Below are 16,953 nucleotides of genomic sequence, written 5' to 3'. Positions count from 1 at the left end.
ATACATTAAGATCCATTCCACATACTAAAAAATTTGCCCATAACAGTCCCAATTTTCGCCTACTTTCCCAGGATTACAGTGCTCCTTTTACTTTCAAAATTATCCTAGTAGGATGGATAAACTAAGCAATCGTGATCTTTATAGATTATGTAAAATATGAAATTATCTAGAATTGTGGAGTCTTAAAATGTCAAGGGCATTTATAAATGTTATCACAGAACATATTTTGAAAGTGATGAGTATGGTGCAATATCAAGCTTTTGGACAGGGATGGCATTCCAGATACTTAAAGTTGTTCCAAATCACTCTACTGTGGTAACATTCCAAGATCATTTTGGATATGCCAAGTTGTTAGGCTCTGATTTAATTTCTATATATACAGGAGGAGGCCGTATTTCCTAGCTATGATACAGTTTCCAGTAACCAATGACTAGCCAAATTTTCAGGCTCTGATGGCATTTCCAAATACTTTTAGGCATGCCAAAGTTTTATACTCTGATATAATTCTCGAATAGTTAAGAATATGCCATATTGTTGGACTATGAAGTCTTTGCCAGAACAGTTTATTTCTTAGGGGACAAAAAGCTCATGTAAACATATCACTTTAAAGTTTATATTCTTGCATGATAATTTATGCCCTGTCTTTTATCCTCAAAGGACTCCTCATTCTGTCATTGCATTTATAATTATTCTGACAATTTTTTTACAATTTTTAAAACTCAGAGTTTCAATATTATGAGAGTATATTTACCTAGGTTAATTAAGAAGAAAAATTCAAATTCAAAAATTTCAAAATTAATTTATCATTTTCCAATTCCTACTAAATTAGCTCCATCTTACTACTTTCTTATTTAAATTCATAGCAATGTAGTGTTACCAACTTCCCAGTTCAAAATATTACCTACTTCTCCTCCACCTCTTTCACATTTAATAATTTGGCAAATTTCTTAGATTCTACTGTCCTATTAACGTGAGATTCAATCCCTGGGTTTATGTTCCCACAATGGTCATTATCAACCAGATTTATCTCAATTCTGTGGATTTTCACAGTACATTCTCATAAGGCACATGGATATCAGTCTGTCTAGAAAATCATTATTTTAACCATGATACAGACAGTTTCTCCCTTCATTAGGAATTTCTTGGGAACCAAATTGGATTACTCATTGACAAAAGATGGTGATAACGATGATGATGAAGAAGTCTATTAGCTAACATTTATTGAATGCCTGCTGCTTGCTTTGCTATATTTTCAGCAGTACTATCTCTATGTATAAATAAAAAAAGAGCCAGCTAGACACTCAAAACCTATTAAAAATAAAAAATCCATTAAGATGTATGACACAAATATAAATTATATTTTACATAATTATAAGTTATTTATTCATATATCAAGTCAATATGTATAAAACTCTTTATATTGTAATAATTAAGAAGAAACAGAAAAAAAATCAATGGAAAAAACCCCAGAGAAATAGAATAGTAAATATAAAGAACATCATAAATGGACATATTTTGTTATTCATTATTTCATTAAAAATAACTCTATTTTGACTAACTTGCATTGATTTTCTTTTTAAGTGTTTAGATTCCTGCTTTATTATTCTCAATAATTCCATCAGATGACCCTTGATTTGTTTTGAGTTCTATTTGTTACTTACTGAGGAGAATGTTTAGTTCATTAATGTCCCTGTTTCTTTGAAATAGATGTTATAGTATTTGCAACTACAAATTTTTTTATCACTTCATCCAAAATTAAAAAAAAATGAAAATTAATTCTTATTGTTTTCTTCATCTAAATAAGATGTAATTGCAGTTTGGAGACCAATTAAATACAATGATTAAAATGATAACTATATTAAAATAATTATCTTAAAATAAACGTTCAACTGATTTGGCTTTTGTATTGATTAAAAGTATTTTTAAAAAAATACTTATCTTTTGTCTAAATGCCCTTAGGAGGTGGGGCACTTGGGTGATGATTAGGTCATGAGAGCAGAGCCCTCATGACTGGGACTAGGATCCTAATAACATGAACCCAAGCAGGCTAGTTTAATCCTTCCATCACGTGAAGGCAAAGCAAGAAGGTGCCATTTGTGAGAAAGTGGACTCTAATCAGACACTGAATCTGCCTTAGTCTTGGATTCCCAGCCCCTAGAAACATGAGAAATAGATTCATATATTTTATAAGTTACCAAGTTTATGATATTTTGTTACAACATCTAGAGTAAGACAAGTACCTTTGCAGTAAGCTTTAATTTTACTTAGATGATTTTTTTTGCTTTTAAAATAGAGTATTTCATTATAAAATATCCCCTTTCTTTAATTTTATGTGCTGACCTTTGACTGAGAGATAAAATTTCCTTTATCTTATTTTTCTTTTTATTCTATCTTATTCACTGCATGCATAATATTTGTTTGGCTCTCTCATAAGAAAAATTAACTGTAAGTAAAATTTTTTTTATCTTTTATCATCTTTATTTTAAATTATTTTGTACATTAATCCCTTTGTTCTTTTCTTGTCTATCTTAGGGATTTTTTTACACTCTCCTACATTTTTCATTTTTTAATGTTTCAGTGATGTTCCTTTTATATTTGACTATATTAAACTTTCTCCACCAAAATATTAGCCTCCTTACTCATAATGACTTATCAAGGAATGCTTTAGACTATTACCTTATCAACCCAATCTGCTATCCTATCTCCTATCTTCTGATATTTGCTTTTACAATTTTATATTTTTTAATTGTCCCATGTCCACAAAAGACCCCGTTTTAAAAGTTCCTTTTAAATTGTTGTTCTACCTCTAATAATAAATATCTTTCAAATAAAATTTCCAGTTTCATCACAAATTTAAAGTTTTTCTCATATTAAAGAATATTTTCAAAGTTCCATCCTTTTAAAAATTTGTTTTTATCATTTAAAAGGATGAATCTATCTGGGCCTTGGTGAAATTCACTATATAGATCCCTTATGAAAAGTTAAACTGAATGGCTGGTAAGCACAAATATATTACCATTATTTTGTCATTGATCAACTTGAGAGCAATTATAGATAGAGAAGGCAATCTTGAGAGGAAATGCTTTGTTAACATTTTTTCTTTCTTATGGTATTTTAAGGTGCTACCTTTTTTATCTATATAACTTTCATTTGAATCTGGCTTCTGCTCAAGATAATTGGTATGGCTGTGTGCTGCTGCCAGCTCTGTCAGAGAGAATCGTGCTCTTCTTCTATTTCTTTTTCTTTTGGCTATAGTTCCTAAATGAACCAGAAACAGTCTCGCTGTTTTTCATGCTCCTTATCGCTGACAAAGAATGAGTATATGTATAAGTGGTAGGTCCACAGATGCTTCATCACTGGGTAAAGCCTCCATTACTTGGAATTCCCAGTAAGATATAGTTATTGGATTGCATTGTCTTTCTTTCTTTTTTTTTTTTTAACCTTCCAAGGTGACCTCTTAATCTTCAGTGATACTTCTTTTTCCAGAAGGGAGAAGGATAAATCCATCTTCTAAACCTGTCTTCAATTGGTTTAATCCAAACTACATCTTTCAGATTTTTCTTGAGGTGTTTAGCCTGGCAATGGTTCAATTCCCTAATTTACATTCTTGGGTTTTTCCCCTTATATTACATTGAGTGTTTCAGTTTTTAAAATGTTGTCTTGTTTCAGGATGCTGTAAAAAATACCATATATTTGGGGGCTTAAAAACAACAGAAATTTATTTCTCACATTTCTGGAGGCTGACATTTGAGTGGAATTAATCGGATTCTATTTCGTATTAGGAGGAACTGTGAAGAAAAGTTTTGCTTTGAAGGAAATCAGATAAATGGCTAAATAACTGAAATAGAATGAGGAGTCATTGAAGACTTTTAAACTTCTGTGAGAGACTGTTTGAATAATGGTAATGTATTGTCATTGATGGTAATGATTAAGGGAGGGAAGAATTTCAATATGAAGATGCCAGAGAGATAATTGATAACTGCCAAAGCAAAGTCTACGAGAAAGATGAAGTATGTAATATTCAAAGCAGAACGGTTGGTTCAGGAAATACCAAGTCCATTGGAATCGCAAAATGTAAGAATGTGAGTACAGATAGATAGATACACGTAGGTTGGTAGAAGACAGACTCTTCTATCAAGTAGTTGATAGAGAGCATTCAAAAACCAAACTTTCTATGTCCAAACCAAAGCTTTCTGTGTCCCAGCTTTTCACTAACTTATTTTATTCCATATTTCAACCAATATTTATTGAGCATCTACTCTTTGTTGATCACTGATTTAGCTGCTGCGGAAACAGTTGAGCAGGAGAAAGATAGTTTCACTCCTCAGGTATTTAATATTATATTCTCATTGCATCATACAAGAAATATCATACAACAAATCATTGCAAGAAATATCATGTAAGAAATAGCATTGGACATGTTGTAGGTGGGTAATCAAGAAAAGCTCTCTGAGGAAGTCATATTTGAACAATGACTTGAATAAAGTGAGGGAGCAAATCATGAGAATATGTGGAAGAGAAGCTTTTTTGGCATAAGAAACAATAGGTAAAAAAAAATAAAACAACCCTAAGTTGAAAAAAATGCTATACTTGAAAAACAACATATGTATATAAATGTGTGTGTGTGTATACATATATAGCTATTATAAAATGGAAGACTGTTGTAAAAATTAAATTCTGTAACATATGCAAAAAACATACAAATATTTGAGAAATCATAAACATTCTGTAAATAGGTATACATTATGAATTTATCAACTACTACTGATGTCCCACTATAACTAGAAAATTAACACATATACAATAGAATTGTGGGCTTTCTTTCAATTGTGCCTACTTAGAGGCTTTATCTTTATTACAAGAATGTTGTTGCTGGGTGCGTTGGCTCACGCCTGTAATCCCAACACTTTGGGAGGCTGAGGTGGGAGGATCACTTGAGGTCGGAGTTTGAGACCAGCTTGGCCAACATGGAGAAACCTGGTCTCTATTATGAATACAAAAATCAGCCGGACATGGTGCTGGATGCCTGTAATTCCAGCTACTTGGAAGACCCAGGCAGAAGAATTGCTTGAACCCAGGAAGTGGAGACTACAGTGAGCAGAGATCCGAGGTGGCACCACTGCACTACAGCCTCGGCAAAAGAGCAAGACTCCATCTCAAAAAAATATGTTGTTATTGCTCAAAATACTCTTAGAAAACTTTTGTGGAATTACATTCAATATTAGTGTATGAATTACAAATATGTATATGCTATGGACACTTTTCCGCTTTGTTCAAAATTGAACTCAGAAGTTAACTTTTTTCTATCTTTTAGAAATAGGTTTTTTAGTTTACAATTTACTACACATCAGTATTTATTTTTGCCATGAAACTTTGAGGTATACAGTGACATTTGTTTTTCCAACAATTAGTTATTGAACATTTAAAATATGCTAGGCACTCTTTTAGGTGTAGGTGACAGCAATGAGTAAGACAGATAATCTTTTATTTCATCAGGCTCTTGTCCTAGCTTGCAAGATGATTAACAAATACAAAAATAACTAACTAAAACTAATATTTCGTAGTAAGGACTACTACTATCAGTAATAGCAAACTGATACAGTTTTTAAACCATGAAAAATGCTGTTTAACAAAAATATCGACTAATTTGATTTTCATGAACAAAATAGAATAATGTGGTAAAGAATGACTAAGATGGACATAATATGGCAACAAAACTATCTAATTACATTTAAACTTTTGGCAAAAGATTATTTTTAGTCACATGGAAGCATTAAATAAAATTCATAAAAAGAAGGACTGAAAGGAAGGAAGGAAAAGAAAAGAGTCAATAAGAAGAAAATAGATGATGCATTATAGTGTTAATGATATTTATTGATCCTGCATTGTAATTAAAGGGAGGTCTGAAACCTAGGAAATTTTGTTTTGATCATGTGGGAGAAGAGTGATTACCTAATCCTTGAGGTTGACTAGCCAGAGATTTGTAAAAATTATTTCCTTTTTATTCCCAGGAAATTGAATTAGAATATTCATATTAAGGATGGGAGTTTCTTTTTTATTATTTTATTTTTTGACAAATTACAATTATAAAAAATTATGGGGTACACAGTGATGTTATGTTGTATGTATACAGTGTGGAATGATTGAATCAAGCTAATTAACATATCCATTACCTTAAATATTTGTCACGTATTTCTTCTATCTAACTGCAACTTTGTACCCTTTGGCCAACATCTCCGCATTCCCCCACCTCCAGTCTCTAATAAACACCATTCTACTCTCTGCTCATATGAGTTTGATGTCTCACTCTCAGCTATAGAATCACATAAGTATATTTAAATGTCAGTAATGCTAGTCCAAAATCTCAGTTAGAATATTATATGGGAGTGATTGTGTTTGTTATTAAAGGTCTGGCTGTTTTACTTAGAATACTATAGATAAAAGCTATTGGGTAATAAGAATTCAGAACCATCTCAAAAATAGTCTCAACTAATAACCTCCTCTCAAAATTCTTCCCTGTTTGCCAGTGGGTGATATCTGATGGCTGTACACAGGGATATTGATAGGAGTTTAGTTTTTGGTTTAGGAAATCATTTTAAAGATTTCTCTTTTTGAGCCAAATTATGGACTCAGATTTTCACTGAATTCAATTGCTTGGGGGTATAATATTTGCTGAAGTAAGACCCCTAGATTCTGCTAGCTGTCTTCCTTTTTACTTTCTCTGGGACTTCAAAAGTGTAATAACTTCTAGGGAATGGCTCATGTTAATCTATGACAAATCCCCCAACAATTTCAGATTCCCTGAATTCAGTAGGACATTAAGCATTTTCAAGAGTCCCTTGACATCTCTGTTTCCCTTTCCCTCAAGATATATTTCAAACTTTTATTACTCTCATGCATCTCACTATCTCACCACCTGATTCTCAGAAGACCCAACCTCTCATTTCATGCAGATAATAGAATTTATCAGGCAGGATATATCTGAACTTTCTGCTTCCATCTACTGTCAATCATTCACATGTAAATATCATCATTTTCCCCCCCTCTTTCCAGCTGCTGTTTCTCATTCTCTCTTATGGTCAATACTTGGATGCTGAAGGAACTCTCTATTTTCCAGTTGTATCAGTTATCTAGTCCTGTGTAAACATCTACCCCAGAATTTAAGGCTTAACACAATAATCAGTTATTTCACTCATGCTTTGTGAGTAAAAACTTTGGGTTTGTTTCAGATGGGCAGTTGTTCTTATTTGGCCTCATCCTTTCACAGCTGTTATCATCTACAGGGTAATAATATGTGGGGCTGGCTGGTTTATAACATTTTGGTCTGGGATGGTTGGGGTAGATGAAGTGTCTCCTGTGTGTTATCCGCTAGCTGGCTTGTCTAGGGTTGTTCACATGACATCAGAGTTCCCCAGGCAGTGAGATGGCAAGCTTAACACAGGAGCAATTTTCAAGTATGTTCCCGCTTCAATTTTGCTACTGTTATCTTGGCCAAAGCAAGTTGTAAAGCCACCTGTATTAAAGACAATTCCATCTTTTAATGAGAAGAGGTACAAAGTCACATTATAGTTCAAGATTATAGATATAGGAAAAGGAGACATATCATAATAAGTTGTCACAATAGTTCACAACTTTTTAGTCAAATTAAGACACAGCTAGATAACCATAAAAACATATGCAAGGAATTTCACCCACTTATGGAGGCAGGCTTTGACTATACATCTAATTTGTTTAGTTTCAAATATAGAGTATAGATTCTGTACTTTATACTGGACATTTATCATAAAAATTATCATTGGGTTACTTACTCACTCTTTAGGAATTAAAAACAGTATCTTACTCTCCTTGTGACACAGGACTTTTCTTGATCATTTTTGCCTGCCAGAGACACCTAGCTGGCAATGCCTTTGCCCCACCTTGGCTGGTGGCTTTGGGGCTGGTTCAGCCCTACCACTGTTTCTGTCAAGTGGGGCAGCTGCCCTCCACTGGCAGAGGGCAGACAGCCATGATGTTACAGGCTTCTCTGTGCTCACATTTGGTGGGTTCCAAGCTCTTGTCCCACATCCAGGAAGAATGAGGATACACTGATAATTGAAGAGTGAGGAGAGTGGCGAAGGACTTTATTGAGTGATGGAACAGCTCTTAGCAGAAAAGGATGCTGGGGTGGTTCCCCACGCCTGGGGAGATTTCTCCCAACAGTGTGGCTGAGTCTAGGGCTTTTATGGGCTTAGAATAAGGGAGTGTGTGCTGATTGGTTTGTGAGTATGCAAAGAAAGGCTAAAGAAAAGGCTTCACTCAAAAGCAGGCATGGCAGTGTAGAAAACCAATTAGGAAAGGGTAGACATATGTAAAATAGGTGAAGGGTGGGGATCAATCAGAGGCAAGTGCACCAAATGGGAAGACAAGTTCTCAATCTGGTCCATGGATTTGACTTGTAGCTTGGCTTTCAGGCTTTAAACTGCCTTTGACTTGGAGGTTGGGTTTCACTGAGGACCTGCCCCTGTCTTCCTAGGCATTTGTCTGCCCCTGCTGCTATCACTTGGTTCTTATTAGAGTGCTGGGTACATTGTAGCCACTAAAGGTATAATATTTGCTGATTATTAAGCAGTAAATGAAGTCTTGCTCTTTTACAGTTATAACATATTAAAACAGTATTTTTAACTAAATCTTTCACCATTTATGCATTTCTTTGTGTGTTATCTTTTACTATTTCTAATATCAAGCTCCTTTTTCATAAGACAAGAAGTTTAATGGGAATAGTATGGGCTTTAAGGTCAAATGGACAATGGTTGAAATCATAGATTTTATAAGCCCTATTTGCATATGACTTTGGAAAATGACTTGTTTTTTAAGACTTATTTTTCTCATGCATTAAATGGGACTAATGACACTGACATATTGGAATTGTTCTAAATATTAGAGGAATTTGTGAAATATTACTCTTTATGGCTATGGAGATATGGAGTGGTGAACCAGGATGTTTGTGATGGTAAACAATTTATATTGGAAAGCCACAATATAAATATTATTGATCTTACTGAAACTTATTTTAACTTATTTTAAGGTTTAGGTATTAAATAATCTAAATGGTATTTTAAATTTCATATATGATTATATTATGTTATGGAATGGTCATAGATTTTTTTCAGATGTGATATTTTACCAGTGTTGCTGGTCACTTGGGACTAACTTAGGAAACCTTGGGGCATGCAGGCTCTTCTCCCCAAAAGAGTATTTTTTAGAGGAAAAAAAAAGCAGTGATAAAAGTAAAGCATATAGTACAGTGTCTGGTATAAAAAAAAATCTATGTTAAAATTCTGTGACTACTTTTCACCACTGAGATTGCTTAAAGAAATGTTTCAGAGGTTCTAAACAATGTTCCTTCAAATAGTTCAGTACCAGAAAACTTTTGGTTCCTTAATTCAGTCCTTTAATTCTATATATACTATGTTTTCTAAACATGTGTAAAATATTGTAGACGGGTTGGGAGTCTAATTCCAGAAAGTGAAAATATTGAAACCTTATTTCAGTTACTACAACATAGAGTACAGATGTTCATTTATTGAAACAGGTACACTTGGCGACAGTCAAACATTTTCAGGTGTCTTGTAATGGGTCATCTTTATCATTAGGAGTTCTAATTATTATTTCTACATTTTCTACATAAAAGTTAAAATAAACTTTATATATGGCTTTCAAAATACCTTTTCCTTCTTCTTGAATTCCTGAGTGTCATTGAAGCTAACGATCTTTGTATTTCTATACTGAGTCACACAGTTTGGAAAACCTGAATATCTGGTCATGAAAGACATTGGCTTGTTTGTTAAAAATGCAAATCCCTACTTTCACTTCTTACTTCCGAAACCAAATCTGTATGAACAAGACTTTGGATTGGTATGTCTAATGTTTCTCAGAGACTCTTTTAACCACTACACTTGGATGTTGTAGCTGAATCATCTAACTTTTCCTTGTCCATGGGTCATGACTGGACTCCCAGGGCTATAATGAACAGACTGTTCTCCCAGCTCAGTTTTCTGCACATTGAAAGTACTACTTACTGCCTATGAACCACCTTGCTCATGTCATACCATTCTTGCCCATCCTGACTCCATTCATCTTACTCATAAAGTCTGTGAAAATACGACTAAGGTAGGAATAGTGATTGGTAAAGGAGCAAGAACCATGGTATTAAGGTTCACAAAATTTCCTTGCTAGGACATTTCTGAAAAGAAAGAGAATGTACACTTTGCACAGCGTGATGCTACTTTGAAGGTTTCTCTGTCTTTTCAGTACTTTCTGCCTGGTTTACTGAAGTCTGAACATTTCCATCAGGAACAACTGATGGTAGGGTAGCTAATGCTATCACTGATACCTGGCTCAGAATAATTGTTAGTTGATGTATGAAATGATAAATTAATTATGGAAAACATGTTTTAGGGGTGTTAATAAATAATTCATGAGTGTGTGAACTGCATTAAATTTGATGTTGTTAAAATCAATTTTATTCTTCCTATAGGAAAAAGTCATTTAAATTTCAAATCCCTACATTTTCCATTGAGATGCAAGACACATTATTTCGAAGCTACATTGCAGAAAGGCTGAAAGACTATAGATTTACTAGATATTCCTGTTCCTATGACTCCTGCTTAACTTTGCTTAAAGATTGCTCAATAAAGGCAGAAGGAAGAATTCTATTGAATCACAAGGTGTATTGTGAGATCTTAGACACTGCCATTCAGCAAGAAAGCAGGCTTTCTAGCCCAGCAAAAGCAAGGAACCTCTGCCAACCAGTAATCTGGGAAGAAGACTCTGGGCTTCAGATTAGATTGTAGCCCCCAACTGTAGTAAATATACAAACATTGTATCGAGACACAAAATTATACCATTTTCTTGCATTTGTAGGAAGCCCTGGATAAACCATAAGTATAAGTAAAAAGTGCCAAATCAATGTATAGTGCACATTATTGAAATGGGAAAGGTTCCCTTGTCCTCCTCGCAGGACACGTGATGGGGGAGTGGCTAACTTCCTCAGTGCCCTGCTGCTCAAACCTGTAAGTGAGCATAAAGATGGGCAGTTTGTGGGGCTCCAACCTCATGGCAGTGACTTTTTTAGAGGAAAAAAAAAGCAGTGATATAAGTAAAGCGTATAATCCAGTGTCTGGTATAGGGGTGAATGTTTAGAGCTTCTGAAGCCCCAGTGCGCATGTGTTACAGGATGCTCTCTTAGTTTGCCATCTGTAGGTGGCTTGTGTTAACCAGCTCAATTAGACCCTCTACCTTGTCGCAATGACAGAGGACTTTCTGTATCCCGGGTTCTTGCCTTGATGTACCCGAAGAATCAGATCATACGTGGGCTTGGAAAATGAGTGCAAAGTTTTATTCAGTGGAAGTAGCTCTCCACTGATGGGGGAGGCAGAAGGGAGATGGTTTTCACCCGGAGTTGGGCCGCTCGATGGCCCGGCTCTCCTCCTACTGCCCCAGCCAGACTCAGCCTTGTCCCACCGGTCGATGGCCTGCCGGCATGCCAGCATCTGTCGGTGTGCTCTTCGGCCAGCGTGCTCTTGAAGACCAGCTGCTTGTGTCTTCTTCTGCCTACGTGTTCCTCTCACTGGCCAGCAGCTTCTGTCTCTGCCTTGCTAGGGTCTGGGGGCGTGGTGGGCCAGAGTGATCTTGGGAAATGCAACATTTGGGTGCAGAGGCAGGAGTGTCTGTCCTCATATAGGTTTTTGGGGGTGGAGCCCTAGCCAGGGACCACGCCCTCCTCTCCCCAGCACCTCTCTTCCCCGCCTTTCGTATTATTTAAAGGGACCATGCTCTTCCTTTCCTAGAACTGTATCATTTTGACGGCTTCTAGGTGTGAGAGAAAAAACAAGTTTTATAAGGTTAAGTATGCATGATTAAGCGTGTATTTTACAAGGAAAGAATTTAGTGCCAAAGATTACAGAGACAAGAAGTAAAATATAATACCAACAACATTGTACCTGAGCTGTTTCACTCTGGTGAAAGAAATTAAACCTTGTATTGGGAAAGGTTAAACTTTAGAAGAGAGATAACTATTCTTGCCATATGTTTAGCAGTTAACAGGTGCACCCTGGGAATACCTGTATCTCCTCTCTCTTTCCCAGGCCACCTTGTCTCTATTATAAAAGACTGAGGTAGCCACTTTCAGGAGGTCCTCTAATGTACTATCTGGTCCCAGGGCCTATTTCTACAACTTTCTCCTGGTGTTTGGGGCTGTCTGAGTAATAAATTTATCCTTTAAGATTAGTTGTCCCTCGACTGAATCAGGAGATAGAGAGGTGTGCTTTACCAAGGCCCCTCTTAGTCTTTCCAGGAAGGCAGTGGGATTTTCATCAAATTCCTGGTCAATCATGGACAACCTAGTATAATTGAGAGGCTTGGTCCTAGTTCTACATAAGCCTTCCATTATGCATGCCTGAAAGTGACTCCTCTTCTAATCTTCCACCCCATCACTGGGATCCCATTTAGGGTCATTCACTGGTACTGCTTCTCTTCCAGTTGAATAGTATTCACCCCCTTCCCTGATGCTATATGTGAGGCAAAGCTCATCCGCAATTCTCTCTGCTGCTTGCAGAGCAGCGTGTTTCTCAGTGTCTGTCAGGGTCTGATTTAAGTCACATAACCTCTCTCCAGGAGAGTTCGAATATTCGAGTGAAATTCTGGACAGCCTCTATATATCTATCAGGGTCATCTGAAAACTTGCCATGATCCCCCTTAATTTGCTTTAAATCCTGTAAGGAGAAAGGGGCCTGGACCTTACTGGGCCCAAATGCACTGGGCATCTGTTGCAGGGGCAAGCCTGAGATTGGGACTTGTCTAGAGTGAGGATTTCTAGGAGGGAGCAAGTGAGAGGCGGAAGCTGGATAGGGAAGTCAGGGTGGACCCGGAGAGGGAGGAGCAGAGCTAGAGAGAGCTGTCTCCTCTTTTGGGGGTGCCTCTGGTACTCATATCTTTAATTTCCTGGGCTTGCCCCATGCAAGCCCAGGGAATTCCTGAGGTGGCAAACAGGAGGGCTGGATCAATCCTACATTGTCAGCAAAGGTCTAGATGGCTTTGCAAGGTATAGAAAGCATGTACACATGGGGCCTCAGACCATCTGTCTTCATGTCTACAGAAAAGTTCCAATTGACAGATGGTATCGAAATGAATGGTTCCTTCCTGAGGCCAAGACAGTTCTTCCTGTAAATCGTAACTTGGCCAAACCTTTGTGCAGAGGGCAATAAGGCATTTTTCCTCCAGATTCTGAGGGTCAAAGCAGTCCCAGTGGTTCAGGATACACTCCAGAGGAGTATGAGCTGGCAGTGGTGAGAACTGATTGCCCATTCTGAAAGACAGGAAATAGAAGCGTCCCTCATTCCATTCCTTCTTTCAGCAAAAACTCAGGGTGTGAAGGAAAGAGAAAGTGAGTGCCCTCCTTTCACACTCCACCCCTTATCCCTGAGTCCTGGCGACCTTGGCAGGTGCTGGCCATGGGTACCAACAGGTGACTGGAACAAGGGAAACTTTCTCGTTTCAACTGGGGGCTCATCCGGTGGAGTGGCTGGATTCTTCAGCGCCCTGCTGCTCAAACCTCTAGGGGAGCATACAGACAGGCAGGCTGTGAGGCTCCGATCCCATGGCAGGATCTAGGGGTGAATGTTTACAGTTGAAGCCCCAGTGGATGTGTGTTACAGGGTGCTCTCTTAGTTTGCTGTCTATAGGCAGCCTGTGTTAACCAGCTCAATTAGACCCTCTACCTTGTTGCAAGGATGGAGGGCTTTCTGTATCCCAGGTTCTCGCCTTGGTGTAGCAGAAGAATCGGATCACACATGGTCTTGGAGAATTAGTGCGAAGTTTTATTGAGTGGAAGTAACTCTCCTCCAATGAGGGACTCAGAAGGGAGATGATTTTCACCTGGAGTTGGGCCACTCGGCAGCCCCGGCTTTCCTCACACTGCTCCGGCCAAACTCTGCCTTGTCCGGCAGGTCGATGGCCTGCCAGAGTGTCAGCGTGCTCTTGATGACCAGCTGCTTGTGTCTTCTTACACCTATGTGTTCCTCTCTCCAGCCAGCAGCTTCTGTCTTTGCCTTGCCGGTATCTTGGGTTTTTATAAGCCCAGGATGGGGGCGTGGTGGGCCAGGACAGTCGGGAAAAGCAACATTTGGAGTGACAGTCGGGAAAAGCAACTAAGGCAGGAGTGACTGTCCTCACCTAGGTTCATGAGGGTGGAGCCCCAGCCAGGGACCACACCCTCCGCTCCCCAGCACTTCCTTCCCCGCTTGCATATCATTTAAAGGGACCACACTCTTCCCTTCCCAGCACTCTTGTATCATTATGATGAAGCATTAAAAGTATCCTAAATTTCTTTTAAACAGTAGGATACATTTTTCATCAAAAGGTTTGACTTTGAAATTATGTTAATGGAAACTGTGGTCATTCTTTGCCGTTTCAGTCTATAATACAATGAAGAAAAATGAAGTTATTCAAGCCTGCTCCTAAGGTAACCATAGATACACATTTTCAGCCTAGGTTTATTTAGTTTTAGTGACAAATATTTATTTTTAGTACTCCCTAGAAAACCAGTTTGTAAAAACTGACATAGAAAAAAGTCTCAATGCATTGTCTTTGCAGAGAACTAATTTATACTTACTATACTTTATACTTGCAGTTGTCTGAAGGTTAATTCTCACAAAGTTTATTTTTAGTAGTCATGTTTAATTCTGTCCTTTTATTTCCTGGTTATGCGATGTCTGATAACAGCCTTGGCATGATATCATTATATGGTTAAAAAGACATACCCAAGATAAGGTAATAATTTTCATGTTCTTCCCTTTTCTGATTTTAAAAGTACAGGAGAAGGCAAAAAAAAGTGTCTTAGATTATTTCTAATTATCATCCTTGTATAACCCACACCATAAAATGCTAACAAAACAGTTACCTTTTAAAATAATCTAGCCCTATAGTAAACATGTAACTGTCTTAGTTAAACTTGCATTTTAATAAAAAAGAGGACCCTTTTCTAATTATTAGACTTTTTACTCTTTACTGTTTTATAGGTTTGACTATTTGAAACGTTCTATTAAATATGCTAGAAAATTATATTTAGCAGCAAGCACTGTATAGCCAGCATATTGGATTTTATTTCCCTCAAACAAGTTTAAATTAAGAGAACCAATGAGATTAGCTTTCAAGTATGTGAATACAAATTCATTAGTGACAAACTTCACTCACAAATACTGAAATATATACGTAAAATAAAGGACACTTATTTGTGAAAATATTTGTAGTAAAAATTGGACTCTTCAATGCAGCAAATTTTATTTTGGGAATTGAAAATGTATCATTTCTAGAAGCAGCAAAATAGATTTGGGATATGTCTTCTTAAGGCTTCTGAGTCAGTTCTGAAAAGGCCAGCGTCTTCCTTTATAGGTAAGCAAAAGAAAAAGACCCAGTAATGAGCACCGTGGTAGGCAGAATTCAAAGAGGTTCTCCAAGATTCGCCTAATGTACATGCCCTGTGTAATCCTGTCATGGTGAGTGCAAGAGGAACCCTTGACTCTGGTTCGGTATTGCTCTCTTGATTAGATTATGTTTTATGCTCAGCATTATGGGAGAGTCACAATAGTGATTGAATTATATTATATGGGACTAACTACAACATAGCAACTGGAGAAAGGCTTGCTTGTTGGCCTTGAAGAAGCAAACTGCCATGTTATGGAAAGGACCACAGAGCTGGAAATGCTAAGTGGACTCTAGGTGCTGAGAACAGCTCCTAGCTGCCACTCAGCAAGAAAGCAGGTATTTTAGCCCAGCGACAGCAAGGAACCTCTGCCTACAACCAGTAATCTGGGACAAAGACTCTGGGCCTCAGAGAAGATTGCAGCCCTTGGTGGTGGTATTGATTGCAGCCCTATTAGACCTGAGCTGAGGACTCATTTATCATGCATCTGTAGATGACCAGTGGATACTCTGAGATAATAAACTTGTTTTTTAAATGCTGCTAAGTTTGTAGTAATTTGTTATGCAACTTAGAACACAAACACAAGCATATTCCTTTTTACAAATATCATGTAAATAGTATGTTAACAATATAGTGTTAAAATAACTTAGATATCTATTTCTTTAAAAAAGTGAGGGGCTAGTAAATTATTTTTACCTGAATTCTCTTTTGTAACTGACCGACTTTAAAGGGCTCACTTATTCACTCTTTTTTTCAAAAATATTTATGTAGTGTCTCCCTTGTATTTGGGATTTAGGATACATCTTTATAAATGATCTTGCATTCAAAAAGCATGAACTGCAGGCAAGCAGACACTTGGTAAAGTAAACTGGGCTTAAAGACAAATTGAAACAAATATTGTCATTTTATCATTAATAGTGAGAAAAACATATTTATTGATATGTATTAACATTGACTAATATTGAACAGAACTATTTCTACTATATCGTTTGTTCTCCTTTGAAGTTGTTTTCCTGCTACAAGTGATAGGTAGCCTTGATCAGTGCTCCTCAAACTTTAATGCACATAAAAAGAATGGCCTGGGGATCTTGTTAAAGTATGGGTTCTGATTCAGGAGGTCAGAAGTGGGCCCAGGATTCTAAATTTCTAACAAGCTCCTAGCCATGCTGATGCCACTGGGCTGAGGCTCACACTCTAATGTAGCAAGAGTATACATGACCTCTGCAGGTTTCTGCTCAGATCAAGGAAGCTACCTCACTATAATTTACAGCACACTTTCATGTTGGCTAAAACCGGAGTCTCTAGTTTCAGAAAAAATATATAGCTAAATAAATATTTTCTCATAGAGTAAATGTATGTAGCGGCAGACAAATCTCTGAGACTTTCGTTTGCTTTATTTTCCTTCTTTCCCTAAAATTAAAAACCTACATTTTTACCATAAGGTTTTGAACATTGACAGAAACATGCCGTGTTCTTGAGGAGGAAAAAGAAAA

Source organism: Homo sapiens, chromosome 13 (genome assembly GCF_000001405.40).
Source record: "Homo sapiens chromosome 13, GRCh38.p14 Primary Assembly".
Taxonomy (NCBI): Eukaryota; Metazoa; Chordata; class Mammalia; order Primates; family Hominidae; genus Homo; species Homo sapiens.
The sequence above is the reverse complement of the archived record's forward strand: the minus strand, read 5'-3'. Positions refer to the sequence as shown.